The 14,914-nt window shown below is 38.1% G+C and overlaps 1 annotated feature.

Annotated features, from left to right (window-relative positions):
* Positions 8,694-9,893: an enhancer, noted in NCBI's record as "CDK7 strongly-dependent group 2 enhancer chr11:23901013-23902212 (GRCh37/hg19 assembly coordinates)". NCBI's record gives its function as "activates an origin of replication core promoter dependent on BRD2, BRD4, P300/CBP, MED14 and CDK7 cofactors, with strong dependence on CDK7, by STARR-seq in HCT116 cells {active_cell/tissue: HCT116}" and the evidence as "EXISTENCE:reporter gene assay evidence [ECO:0000049][PMID:35650434]".

A 14,914-nucleotide genomic window follows, 5' to 3' on the forward strand; every position in this document is an offset into this window, starting at 1 on the left:
ATTCTTCCCCACTGGCATCTACTTTTGTCAGACACATACCTTACCCTTCCAGCAGCGTCAACTTTCTTCTTTAGAGAAATCAATCACCTCTTTCGATAGGTCTAACGTGACCCACCTCAACCCATCCGAAATTTGATTTTTCTTGGCATGTGTGTTGATTTTCTAGCTTTCCAACCGACATTTAATAGTCAATTCATTTGAAATTGAACCCATCATACCCTCATCATCACCTCCTCTCCACACCAAGAATGGTAACCTAACTTCTTGATCTAAACTGACAGTAACATTCCAAAGTCATATCTGACTCCATTTTCACTTGTGCCTTTTATAGCACAAGTCAAGTCCTGGTGATTCTGTCTGTTTAATATTTTACTTATCTTCCTATGTTCCTTTCTTCTCTCTATCCATTAATTTTTCTTTAAAAAAAATCTGTCAAAACTTTTCTCTTGTGATTTCTTTAATTGCCTTTCATTCCTCTTCCCTTTCAATCCATCTTACACCCAAGTGCCAAACTCATCTCTCTGAAGCTTAGTCTTGCTCATGTCCCTTTATTTGCTTTCTCTTGCTGATAGGAAAAAGAAAACAAACAAAAAAAAAATGTTCCAAAAGCCTGAATCTAAATCCCAACAACCATATTCTATTAATATTTCTGGGGCTCTTAAGGGCCTATGTTTTCTTAGTCACTCTTATTCTATTGTCCCTCTCTTTACTGAAGCTATTCTCTTTTCTTAGCCCCAGGTTAACTCAAAGCAAACACAGTCACTTTTCCCTTAACCACCTTCACCCAAAAGTGCCAACTCCATGAAGCACTATATATTAATAGAATTTGCTAAGGATTATCGAAGCAACAGATAGTGGTATAGTTAATAATATTTTATATTAAAATACATTAGGATATTTGCATCTATGCTGGACAATAGAAATGACTTATTGTGCACTTTTGTTCCTAGCAGCCTTACCCTGTGCTGCATTTCTGAGGCCCTTTCTAAATTAACAACTCTTTTTTGTAAACCTTACCCGTCTGAGATCATCAATTTCTCATATTTTCTTCCAAGTATAAATTTAGCCTTCACAGATTGATGCTTACGGGGCCGGTGAAAATGGTAGACAGATATCCATGACCTTCAGAATATAATTCAAGTTCTTTTTTCCTTTATAATTCAGCACCTACCTATTTATCAACTCTTTCTATCCCTCACACCTTCCTCACACGTGTCCTTTCTCCAATCAATATTTTAAAAGTTGCAATTTTTGAAAAGCACCATGCTTCCTTTCCTCAGTACTTTTGTACTTGCTGTGACTTCTATCTGTGGCATGGGTATAGAGTTTACCCTCTCTCATATTGTAACTTGTTCAGCCCTCATCTTCAAGAAGACTTTCCTGATCACTTACCCATTCTGATTCTGTTTCGCTGTTCACCTTCTCTGTACCAAGCAATTGAAACTGCTGTTGAAAAAATTATAAGAGTGAGAAAATTATGACAGTGAAGAGATCTAACAAACTCTGCCTTGTCTTCAACTTCTTAACTGCCCTTGGTCATTCCTGGGCATGGGCCAAGCTAACTTTGAGAGAAATTTGGTTTATAGTTTAAGTGATAATAGCCCTTCTCAAAACTAAACCACCTTTATAAAACTAATAAAAGATACAAGGTTAAAATTACCAGAGAGGTCTGAATTCTCCTAAGATGTAGGCATAGTTAAGTGGTTACCAGCCATTCTTCTAGAGGTCACAAGATTTGTAACTTTCCCAATTACTCCTGTAAACAATATGACTATTGTACACCCTAAAATTGGCCTTTTGAGATATCTATTCACACTTTTGCACTTTTGACAGCTGGATGACTTCATCTGGACTCGAGACTCAAGAATCAACAGGTCCTGGGGCCCCCATCCAGAAGTGGACTCAGTGCAAAAGGATCATTTTCCACACCCCTATTATTGCATCCCCAATTAATCAGCAGCACCTCTTCCCTGGCCCTCTGCCTACCAAACTATCCTTGAAAAACTCTAGTCTCTGAATTTTCAGAGGTGTTAATTTGAGTGAAAATAATACTCCAGACTCCTGTTCAGCCATCTCAACATGTATTAAACTCTTTATTACTATCCTCCTGTCTTGATAAATTGGCTCTATCTAGGCAGCTGGCAAAATGAAGCAATCAGGCATTTTACACTGATCCTGATAAAAGTCTTTTTGCCTGTATTCTGATAAATAGTTTATACTGTGTTTATTCTTGAGAGCTGAAACTATTTTTTTTATTGAGGTGAATCCTCAGTTTTTACTACCATGATAGTGCCCTATAGAAAATAGATGATCAATAAATGTTTCTGAATGAATTAATAACCTATACATACCACCTAACATACTTTAAATCATCTTTAGATTACTTATAATTCCTAATACAATGTAAATTCTATATAAATAGTTGTTATACTATATTGTTCAGGGAATCATGACATGATAAAAGTTTGTACATATTCTGTACAGATGCAATTAAGAATATTTTTCATCAGCAGTTGGTTGAATCCATCGATGCAGAAGCCATGGATACAGTGAGGGCTGACTACTGAGATTGGCAAGCATCCTCTTATGCCTTTGTTTCACTGTGCAATAAGGGTCAGTGAATCGTTGTCTTACAATACATTGGTAGGCAAGTTTTTAGCCACATTTGGAAAGGAAAAATGTGATTTGCAAAGTGAAAATTCACTGAATTGATTTTTTTTCATTTAAATATTTCAGCTTTTAATTTCCTTTCACTAAACCATATTCTCTGTTTAACTGTGGTATCGTTTAGTTTTTGGAACAGTTGCTTCCCAGACAGTTGTCTAAACAAAAGCGATTGAAAGGCAGACTCAGAATGTTCCCAAGTTAGTTATTGGATGTACTTGAAGAGGAGCTTCAGTATGTGCTGTGAAGTCCCTTTTTCCTTTGTAAAGTTAAGCATCACATCTTTTCAAAATCATTCTCCCACTCTGTTTCTGTCCAAAATATATGTGTATTTTTCTCCCATTGAATTCATTCTGTGTGGCCCATCCAAATAGTCCCTTATCTGGTATTTGTAGAAAACAATCCAATACTTCTTAGGAGTTTGACTTCCCAAATATTAGCTTCTGTTTGCAGTTATATGGTCTCATACCTTTCAGCATAGTGACATCCAAAATTCTGCTACTTTTATAGAATGTCCACTTCTGTGGACATTTAAATATTTCCAAGTTCTTTGGACATTTAAAAATTCATCCTAACATATCTGGGTCTCAACCTCCTTATCTCATAATTGGAAACCTTGAAGTTTTCATGCTAGAGGCTCTCCTTATTTCCTCAGTCCTCCTCAGAGATGCAGAGAAATTTGACATGGGGATTCATATTTGGAATTTTGCAGAGGAAGTTTTATTACTATTTGTATGGTCAAAGGATTAATTGGGATGTGCTTAAAAACTGGCTTATAATGAAGGCTTCGTACGTCTCATTTAAATAAATGAGAAAGGGAAAATAGAAACAATGTACCCCAGAGTTTTCCATTAAACTACTTTGGTCAATTTAATGGGTGATCTTTCCTTTTAGGAGAATTACTTTTCCAAAGTTCTTTGTGTTAAAATATCCTTTGTCTTCTGAAATAGTGGTGACAGGAGTTGGGTGTTACTTTTAAATGTTCTTGCTTGGAAAAATCAAAAGTTAGGAAACATATGTTGCCTCTAAAAACATATTTGGAAGATATATACTTGCCTATGAAATTCAAAAGATTAAGAATCACTGTCAAAGTCAGCAGTAAATCTCATCATCAAGCAAACTGCTGTATTTCAGACACTCTCTGGCACTTTGTACACATGAACTCTTCTAATCTTCACAGTATCTCTGTGAGGCACTGATTTTTAGGTTCATTGTACAGATTAAAAAACTAAAAAAACTGAGGCTCAGAGTTTTATAACTTTCTTAAGGTCACAGGGACAATAAATGCTAGAGGCAGGTTTGGGACTGAAGTGGTTTGTCTGGAATCTGTGCTCCTAAACCTCTCTGCTAAGTCTGTATACTCTATATTCTCTAATGTCCCACTGGGTCCCTGGTTATCCAATCAGCTGATTCTGTTGATTTACTACACTGGCACTGTAGCTCACAGACGTGATGGGATAGTTCCTGTGCAAACATATATTGTTCATGTATACGTAATCTACACAATTTCACTGAGGCTAATTTTACTGTGAAACACATAAACTAAAAATATAAATGGCAATGCCCAAAAGAGGTATGAAGACATAAGGATATTTGAAGCTTTTAGGATAATCTATAATGCATAGAATTTGCTCTATAAATGGGCTTATGAAAGCCATCACTTTTCAATTTCTCTGTTTAATGTTCTGTACTTTGTTGCCTTGAGATAGGTTCCTGCCTCTTGGCTATTCCTTCAATCTCTATCATTTTCTATTTACCTATCAATGCCTTTCACTCTCAGGGGCTCTTCACATGTTAAGTACAGCTCCTCCCCGCCATGCCACTTCCACATTATTTGAACCAAAAATAGATTAAGATAGCAGCAACAATGGCAACAATAATAGTTAACATTTGTTGAGCATCTGTAGCACATACTCTGCTAAACATTTTATATATTCATGTAATCTAATGTAATCCTCACAACCAATTCATCATTACAATCCCCAATTTAGCAATAAGGAAAATAGGCATATGGGAGTTTGTAACTGGTCCAATGTCATTGAGTTAATATAAATTATTTAATGTGGATTTAAAAGTCAGGCAGTAAAAATTTATAAATATTTTGTTCTATAAGAATGTCTAAAATGTTATTTGCCTAGTCTTCGATCTTATAGTTTTGATAATAAGACTCTTGAGACTTAACATCTGCTAGCTAGTGCTAGGATTCTGGTTGCATTTTGCGTTTATATTTCTGAATCTTGTTTGTGGTTCCTCAATTGTCTACTGACAAATTCTTCCTAGTGTTGGCTGTAGCATGTGATACGGTCTGGCTCTGTGTCAGGAATAATGTTTGAAGTGTACAGAAAGAGAACCTGATACATGGAAAATCTCATAAGCATCCAGAGTGTATTACATGGTTTGGCTTTGTCCCAACCCCAATCTCATCTTGAACTGTAGTTCCCATGATTCCCATGTGTCATGGAAGGGAAAAGGTGAAGATAACTGAATCATGGGAGTGGTTTTCCCTATCCTGTTGTTGTGATAGTGAATTATTCTCGTGAGATCTGCTGGTTTTATAAGAGGCTTTCCCCTTCACTGGGCACTCATTCTCTCACCTGTCGCCCTGTGAAGAGGTGCCTTCCACCATGACTTTAAACTTCCTGAAGCCACCCCAGCCACGCAAAACTGTGAACCAATTCAACATCTTTTCTTTATAAAGTACCCAGTCTCAGGTATTCCTTCATACCAGCATGAGAACAGACTAATACAGTATACTCACAAACAGAGGATTCAATTCACACAGAAGTCCAGTCACCATCAAAGTTCACTTTTGCTAGGAATGTACCTAATGTTGAAGCATATACATCTATAAACATATTATACTTTTGTTTTGGTGGAAATAATCAGAAATCAGAAATCCAGAAATAATCAGAATTTAATGTTCATACACAGATGTGCATGTTGAAATATTCCAGACACAATCAGGAATTAATCAGAATTTCTATGTTCCTTGCAACACACAGAATGCACATCTGTGTATGAAGTCTTATTTTATACATGCCAGTGAATTCGGATCATGTCTTACAGTATCTGACATTTCTTGTCCTGATGAAGTTGAGTGGTTGTAGATAAAAATCAGGTAAAAGTCAGCCGGGCGCAGTGGCTCACCCCTGTAATCCCAGCACTTTGGGAGGCCGAGGCGGGCTAATCATGAGGTCAGGAGATCGAGACCATCCTGGCTAAGAGGGTGAAACCCCGTCTCCACTAAAAATACAAAAAATTAGCCAAGCGTGATGGTGGGTGCCTGTAGTCCCAGCTACTTGGGAGGCTGAGGCAGGAGAATTGCTTGAACCCAGGAGGCAGAGCTTGCAGTGAGCTGAGATCGCACCACTACACTCCAGCCTGGGCGACAGAGTGAGACTCTGTCTCAACAAACAAACAAACACAGTTAAAAGTCGTGGTAGACAGTTAGAATGACGATCATTAAAAAGTCAGGAAACAACAGGTGCTGGAGAGGATGTGTAGAAATAGGAACACTTTAACACTGTTGGTGGGACTGTAAACTAGTTCAACCATTGTGGAAGTCAGTGTGGCGATTCCTCAGGGATCTAGAACTAGAAATACCATTTGACCCAGACATCCCATTACTGGGAATATACCCAAAGGATTATAAATCATGCTGCTATAAACACACATGCACACGTATGTTTATTGCGGCACTATTCACAATAGCAAAGACTTGGAACCAACCCAAATGTCCAACAACGATAGACTGGATTAAGAAAATGTGGCATATATACACCATGGAATACTATGCAGCCATAAAAAATGATGAGTTAATGTCCTTTGTAGGGACGTGGATGAAACTGGAAACCATCATTCTCAGCAAACTATCGCAAGGACAAAAAACGAAACACCACATGTTCTCACTCATAGGTGGGAATTGAACAATGAGAACACATGGACACAGGAAGGGGAACATCACACTCCAGGGATTGTTGTGGGGTCGGGGGAGGGGGGAGGGATAGCATTAGGAGATATACCTAATGCTAAATGACGAGTTAATGGGTGCAGCACACTAACATGGCACATGTATACATATGTAACAAACCTGCACATTGTGCACATGTACCCTAAAACTTAAAGTATATAAAAAAAAAAAAAGTCGTGGCAGAGTTAAATGAACTAAAATGAAGTGAAGTGTTTTAGGAAAAAGCTCCTATGCATAGTTTTTCATGAGTCAATAGGAATAATATAAGAGTTATAGTAGATAACTGAATAAAATATTAGGTTGGGGTTTTGTTGAATATTGTGATAGTTTTATATTTTCTCATCATTTTAAAATTAGTATTTTTAAAATTTTTACATAATTATCCTTAAATCTTAGCCTGTATCTGTTATCTTCTTTAAAAAGGGAATGAGATGTAAAAAGTATTAGGTCTATAAACATGTATCTTCTCCCAAAAGCAAAAGACTGAAAGATAAAGTGTATAAATCCCTCCCCTTGAGCAATGGCATAGAACGAGAAAGTGCCTTCTTTTGATGGAAACTTGGGGAATAAGTTAAGCCCTTTCAGATAAAAGGGGACAGATTTCAGTCATGCAGGCCAAAAATTTGGAAATGGTGAATGAAAACTTAGAAAATTGTTCTAATTTTGGTGCTTTTTGAACTATAGAAAATATTTCCCAGTGTTAGTCTTAAAGAAGCATATAACTTGTTATCAATGGCATGGAATTTTCCATGAACCAATACAACTCAGTGAAACTCAGCTAGAAAAATAAAGCCTTGTTTTTATTATAATTGTATTGTCTCCCTAAGAACCATAACTTTGTAATGTGGTGCACACTAGTGGTTGATGGGGATTGAGAATTAAAAGGCTAATTTTCCTAGTTCATTATAGAAGAAAAATTATGATACTAATTATAAAATGATTATATACAGAAAAAAATAACTTAAACAGTATGCTGTACCTTCTAAAAATGTCATGACATTGTTTTAATCATGTAATTTTAAAATAATCTATAGCCATATACACATATTTTAGAAGCCTTTTCTTTCCAATTGTTGTCCTCGTATTTACTTGCATCCAAACACTTGTTAAACAGCTTCTTTTAGAATTGACAACTCTCAGGACAATCCAATGTTCTTGCAAAAATTAGGACTTTCATAGTGAAGCTATACTTTTTTAAGTTATGTTGCACAAGCCACCAAAATGGCTGCATCTCATTAAGGTTCTCAAGCACAAGCCTTTTGTCGTCTTGACTACTCCACAATACTATGTATTGGCCTTGTCCATGAAAATGAAACAAAGCAACACATGCAGAAATTTGATTTATAATGGTTGCACCATTACTTATACAACTAAAAACAATGGGAACATCTTGATGTTAGAGCCTTAATCTCTACAATATATTTCACTGCATGGTGTGATAATTATTTCATATTTTATCTTGTATCCTATAATCCTTCCTTGGAGCAAAAGAAAATCAAATTTTATATTGGTCTTACATTTATATTTTTAATTAATCTTGAGTGAATTTTGGTATATGGTGAGATATAGGGGTACAATTTTATTCTTCTGCATATGACTAGCCAATTTTCCTCACACCATTTATTGAATAGGGTGTCCTTTCCCCAGTGTATATTTCCATTGACTGTGCCAAAGATCAGTTGATTGTAAGTATATGGCTTTATTTCTGGGTTCTCTATTCTGTAACATTGATCTATGTGTCTATTTTTATATCAATACCATACTGTTTTGGTTACTATAGCCTTGTAGTATAATTTAAGTCAGGTAATGTGATGTCTCCTGCTCTTTACTTATTTATATTATATTTTGACTCTACTGGGACAAAGTGGAGATATAAGAAACATTTACATTTCAATTAAAATTGTGGTAAAAATAGATATACACAAATAAATGTAAATGATTGAAATGAAAAATTAATACAAATGGCCAATTATATGAAATTTGCTTACCCTCAGTGATTATTACAGAAATATGAAAGTTGAGACCAGCCTGGGAAACACAGTGAAACCCCATCTCTACAAAAATTAGCCAGGTATGTTGGCATGTGCCTGTAGTCCCAGCTACTTGTGAGGCTGAGTTGAAAGGATCACTTGAGCCTGGGAGGTAGAGGCTACAGTGAACTATTATGATACTGCACTCCAGGCTGAGTGACAGAGCAAGACCATGTCTCAAAAAAACAAAAACAAATACAAAACAAAACCTTTAATTATGTACGCTTTTTAATAACCAGATTAGCAAAATTCAAGAGGACTGGAGCCAGCTGTCATTAGTTTCATGCGCGTCCGTGTGAAGAGACCACCAAACAGGCTTTGTGTGAGCAACATGACTGTTTATTTCACCTGGGTGCAGGCAGGCTGAGTCCAAAAAGAGAGTCAGCGAAGGAAGATAGGGGTGGGGCTGTTTTATAGGATTTGGGAAGGTAATGGAAAATTACAGTCAAAGGGGGTTGTTCTCTGGTGGGCAGGGGCGGGGGTCACAAGGTGCTCAGTGGGGGAGCTTCTGATCCAGGAGAAGGAAATTCACAGGGTTAATCACTCAGTTAAGGTGGGGCAGGAACAAATCACAATGGTGGAATGTCATCAGTTAAGGCGGGGCAGGGCCTTTTCACTTCTTTTGTGATTCTTCAGTTACTTCAGGCCATCTGGGCGTATACGTGCAATGGCTTGGCAATTGCAAGGGGATGCGATGGCTTGGCTTGGGCTCAGAGGCCTGACAATTAGGATGAGGGGAAAAGGTACTTTTAAACACTATTGATTCGCTGGGAATATAACTCAAAATTTAGAGAGAGTAATTAAGCTGTATATATAAAATTATAAATGAGCACACTCATACCACAGCAATTCTATGTGTAGTTAACTATTCTGACATAGCACCCACAGTGTATTATTCTGTTCTCATGCTGCTATGAAGAAATATCCAAGACTAGGTAATGTATAAAGGAAAGAGATGTAATTGACTCACAGTTTTGCAGGGCTGCGGAGGCCTCAGGAAACTTAAAATCATGGTGGAGAGAGAAGCAAACACATCTATCTTCACAAGTTGGCAGGAGAGAAGAATGAAAGAATTGCAAAGTGGGGGAAAAATCCCTCACAAAACAATCAGATCTCGTGAGAACTCATTCACTATCATAGGAACAGCATGGGGGAACTACACCCATGATTCAGCCACTTCCAACAAAGTCCAGTATAATTTTATTTGAATTAAAAACCTTGCAAATTATCACTATAGACTCAGAAATGTCAGGTTTTTAATATCTTCCTTGTGTGGAGGAAAGACAGCAGTGATTACTTTAAAACCTTGTTTGTTTTAATAAATTATCTTCTTTCTAAATTTTTGTGGTTAAAGTGGGTTGTACTTGCCACTAAAATACAATACAATAGGCAATGGAAGAAAAGACTAAGGAGAAAAAATCAAGTGGGTTTGTGGAGGGAGCTTTCAGTCATGTTTTGTTTTCCCTAACAGTTCTCCAAATCCCTCTCTTTATAGCTCAACATTTTTATAATTATTCTTTTGTAGAGGACAAGTCCTATCTGCATCTGAAGACTAATGAACTAGTTTATAAAATTTTGGAAATCCAGAGCTAGGTAGAGTGTTCTCTGAAGTTATGAGCCTAAAGAATTTTGAAGCTTCTGGTTTCAATGTCTGCTAAAAGTAGACCTACAGTGATAGATTCACTGTAGCTGGTACTAAGAAACAGCTGTGCATGTTTGAAAGCATATGAAGGGAATAAGCTAGTGACAAAGAAATACTATGTGAATTGATCATGCTTCAAAATAATCAATTGGAAACTGATACTAAACAATAACTAAAATACTGCAAATAGTTTGGAAACTGATACTAAACAATTACAATTAAAATGTTGCAAATAATTTGAAACTGATACTAAATAATTACAACTAAAATCTTGAAAATTCAGTGATTAGAATATTGCCAATTGCAGAAACTGCTCTTCTTGATTAATACGTGTTTGCTATTCCCTCATCTGCAATGTTAGAAAGTGACACTACATTTTCAAGCTTGGCTATTAATGTAATCAGTGAAAATGTTAATTCAATAACTCATAATTATGATGTACGCATGAATGAGTATTCTAAATGAATATGACATAGGCAACTAGGAATATAACAAACTTACTAGTTGAAATTATTATTTTTAACCGAAATATGTGTTCACAATGCTACACAAATAAAAGTGTCCTGAAGCTTCGAATTTTAGAAAGTACTGAGTTATGCTAAACTAGTGCGTGTAACCCTCAGGATGAGACTACCTCCTGGAGCAATGGAGAATTTTTCCCCTGTTAGTTGTGTGGTAAACTGTACTTGGCACTCCCTTTGCGGATGAGTGACAAAATAGACATATTTTGAGGGCCCCAGCATTTTAACAATTTATGCCTCTGTTATGTACAATGCTTTTGTTAAAATAATATGATGGTGATAAGAACGACGATACTCCCTTTGAAAATTACTACATATTTGAGAACAACAGATAAAGAGTTGAAAGAACATTTACAGTGTGTCAAATAATTTTCACATATATCTTTAACAGAAATATTATTGGCTTGGGTATCCCCAAGAGTTCCAGTTTTCTTTTTAAAAAAACCAATTAAAAATTATCTTGATCCCCAATCAGATGTCATATGCAAACGAAAATCCAGTATTCTCTAATCAATATCATTTAAAATTTTCTAGAATCTTTCTTTTTCTCCTAAGAAACTCTTGTTAAAATGTCTTACTTCCACTTATGTTTCTTTGCTCTTCTCTGTGTAACCTTATTTATTATCTAATCTATATTTATATAAACCCCTCAATGAAGCTTTTACTTTCCCTTAGTGGTTTTTCATATCCAAAAGAAATAAGACAATTACTGAAAATATTGTCTAATCATGAGACAGCATAGTTCATAAATAAATGGAAAATTTAACACCTTATAATACATCTTTGCTCTTGAAAGTTTATTGGCTGTTCTTACTGGCAATTTTCCATTGCTCAATTTTTTTGCCTAGTTCTTGTTCTTTAGCCAATTGCTCAGTCATCTCTCTATCTCCTTGCATTTTTCTCTTTTCTCTTCTCTCTTCTTTCCACTCCCCACCCAGCACTACCTCTTTAGTGAACCTTTCACTTTTTCCCTCTTTGCTCAAGAAATATGATTCTTACTGTGTCCAGAATTGGTGGGTTCTTGGTCTCACTGACTTCAAGAATGAAGCCGCGGACTCTCGCGGTGAGTGTTACAGCTCTTAAGGTGGCATGTCTGGAGTCTGTCCCTTCTGATGTTCAGATGTGTTCGGAGTTTCTTCCTTCTGGTGGGTTCCTGGTCTTGCTGGCTCAGGAGTGAAGCTGCAGACCTTTGTGGTGAGTGTTACAGCTCTGAAGGCGGCGCGTCTGGAGTTGTTCGTTCCTCCTGGTGGGCTCGTGGGCTCGCTGGCTCGCTGGGCTCAGGAGTGAAGCTGCAGATCTTCGCGGTGAGTGTTACAGCTCATGAAAACAGTGTGAACCCAAAGAGTGAGCAGTAGCAAGATTTATTGCAAAGAGTGAAAGAACAAAGCTTCCACAGTGTGGAAGGGGACCTGAGCTGGTTGCCAATGCTGGCCCGGGCAGCCTGCTTTTATTCTCTTATCTGGCCCCACCCACATCCTGCTGATTGGTAGAGCCGAGTGGCCTGTTTTGTCAGGGCGCTGATTGGTGCGTTTACAATCCCTGAGCTAGATACAAAGGTTCTCCACGTCCCCATCAGATTAGTTAGATACAGAGTCTGGACACAAAGGTTCTCCAAGGCCCCACCAGAGCAGCTAGATACAGAGTGTCCATTGGTGCACTCACAAACCTTGAGCTAAACACAGGGTGCTGATTGGTGTATTTACAATCCCTTAGCTAGATATAAAGACTCTCCACGTCCCCACCAGACTCAGGAGCCCAGCTGGCTTCACCTAGTGGATCCCGCACCAGGGCTGCAGGTGGAGCTGCCTGCCAGTCCCACGCCGTGCACTCACATTCCTCAGCCCTTGGGTGGTCTATGGGACTGGGGACCGTGTAGCAGGGGGTGGTGCTTCTTGGGGAGGCTCCGGCCGTACAGGAGCCCATGGAGTGGGTGGGAGGCTCAGGCATGGCGGGCTGCAGGTCCCGAGCCCTGCCCCGCAGGAAGGCAGCTAAGGCTAGGTGAGAAATCGAGCGCAGCGATGGTGGGCTGGCACTGCTGGGGGACCCAGCACACCCTCCGCAGCCACTGGCCCAGGTGCTAAGTCCCTCATTGCCCGGGGCCAGCAGGGCTGGCCGGCTGCTCCCAGTGCGGAGCCCACCAAGCCCACGCCCACCCAGAACTCCAGCGGGCCCTCAAGCGCTTGCAGGCAGCCCCAGTTCCCGCTCACGCCTCTCCCTCCACACCTCCCTGCAAGCTGAGGGAGTGGGCTCCAGCCTTGGCCAGCCCAGAAAAGGACTCCTACAGTGCAGCGGCGGGCCGAAGGGCTTCTCAAGTGCCAACAAAGTGGGAGCCCAGGCAGAGGAGGCGCAGAGAGCGAGCGAGGGCTGCGAGGACTGTCAGCACGCTGTCACCTCTTATTACTACTTTTTTTCATACACAAATCCAGCCATTCATTTCTTTAGGAGTCCTCATAAAACCGTGAATTCACCATTGACTTCAACTTATATTTCACACTATAATAGCCAATCAATGTAGTTTGCTAAATATAATAAGCACAAGGTATCTATCTAAAAGAAATTTTGTATTAAAAATGCAACCTTTAATCAAACAAGGTGTGATATCCTTACTTTTAAAATTAAAAAAGAACCCAGAAGCTAAGAGAGATTAATTAGCTAGCCCAAGTTATATGGTTAGTAGGTATCAGAGTTTGCATTTAAATAAGTATGTCTGTTTTTTGTTTGTTTGTTTGTTTTTTGGCCTGTTTATTGCTGCTGGTGGTGGTTTTTTTTTTTTTTTTTTTTTTTGTACAAACTGAATTTGGACTTTTAGGGCAAAGCCAGCACTTAGTGCAACAGACAGAACAAACAATATTCAATGACATCAGCTGTATTTGGGAAAGTTTCTTGGCATTCATGATGGTAGCAAGTTTCAGAGAAATATGGAGAAATTGGAGGTCAACAAGGCAATACATGCAAGACCTCCTTTGGCAAAACAAAAAGGCTCTAAGTAAACAAAATTTCTGCTCAAAAGTCAGATACACAGTGATGATTTTTCTGTGTATAGTCATGAATTACATCTATTCTTTTAATAGCTAACTAATGTTCATATGTAATTATAGTTCATAGTTCTCTTTAAGTATTGTACTCACTTTTTTATTGCCAGCATCAATGGAAACTATTTTCAGAAGGCAGCGCTGAATGAGGACTTTATTGCTCTCTGGTCTTATTCTGAGTATGTTTTTGGCTACTCTGAGTTATCTTTCCTCCTTTCAACATTTTTTAAATTTGATTATGGCCTTGTGGGTTTTCTTGGTGGCTCTTTTGGTCTAAACCATGTGAATCCCAAATATGTGAGACAGATTTCAGTGAATTTAGGAAGTTTATTTTGCCAAAGTTAAGGGCACATGAGCATGACACAGCCTCAGGAGGTCTTGATGACACGTGCCTAAGGTTGTCAGGGCACAGCTTGGTTTTATACATTTTAGGGAGATATGAGACATCAATCAATATATGTAAGATGTACATTGGTTGGATCCAAAAAGGCAAGACAACTTGAAGTGGGGAGGGGACTTCCAGGTCATAGATAAATAAGAGAAAAATGGTTTCATTCTTCTGAGTTTCTTATTAGCCTTTCCAAAACAGGCAATGAGATATGCATTTATCTCAGTAGCAAAGGGATTACTGAATTCTGTCTGTCCTTTGTCCACAAGAAGATTCCTTGTGAGGGAGGTAGGTAGCCTTTGTATCTTAGCAGTTATCTTTTTAGAAATAGAATTGTTAAGCAAAAAAAAAAAAAGAAATAGAATTGTTACAGAAAAGGGGTGTCAATCCAGATCCCGAGAGAGTTCTTGCTTGCACAAGAAAGAATTCAGGGCGAGTCCACAGGGCAAAGCAAAAGCAAGTTTATTAAGAAAATAAAGTGGTGAACGGACAGCTACTCCATAGACAGAGTAGGACTTTCCTGAAAGTAAGAAGAGGAACATGTCCACCCTAGGTACAATGCTTGTATATATGGGGAGATGTATTCTGCTATAAGGGTTTGTGATAAAGGATTAATTTTCTTAATTACTATATTTTGCAAGAATCGGTATTATTATCTTTAAAGCAA

This window comes from Homo sapiens, chromosome 11, assembly GCF_000001405.40.
Source record: "Homo sapiens chromosome 11, GRCh38.p14 Primary Assembly".
Classification (NCBI taxonomy): Eukaryota; Metazoa; Chordata; class Mammalia; order Primates; family Hominidae; genus Homo; species Homo sapiens.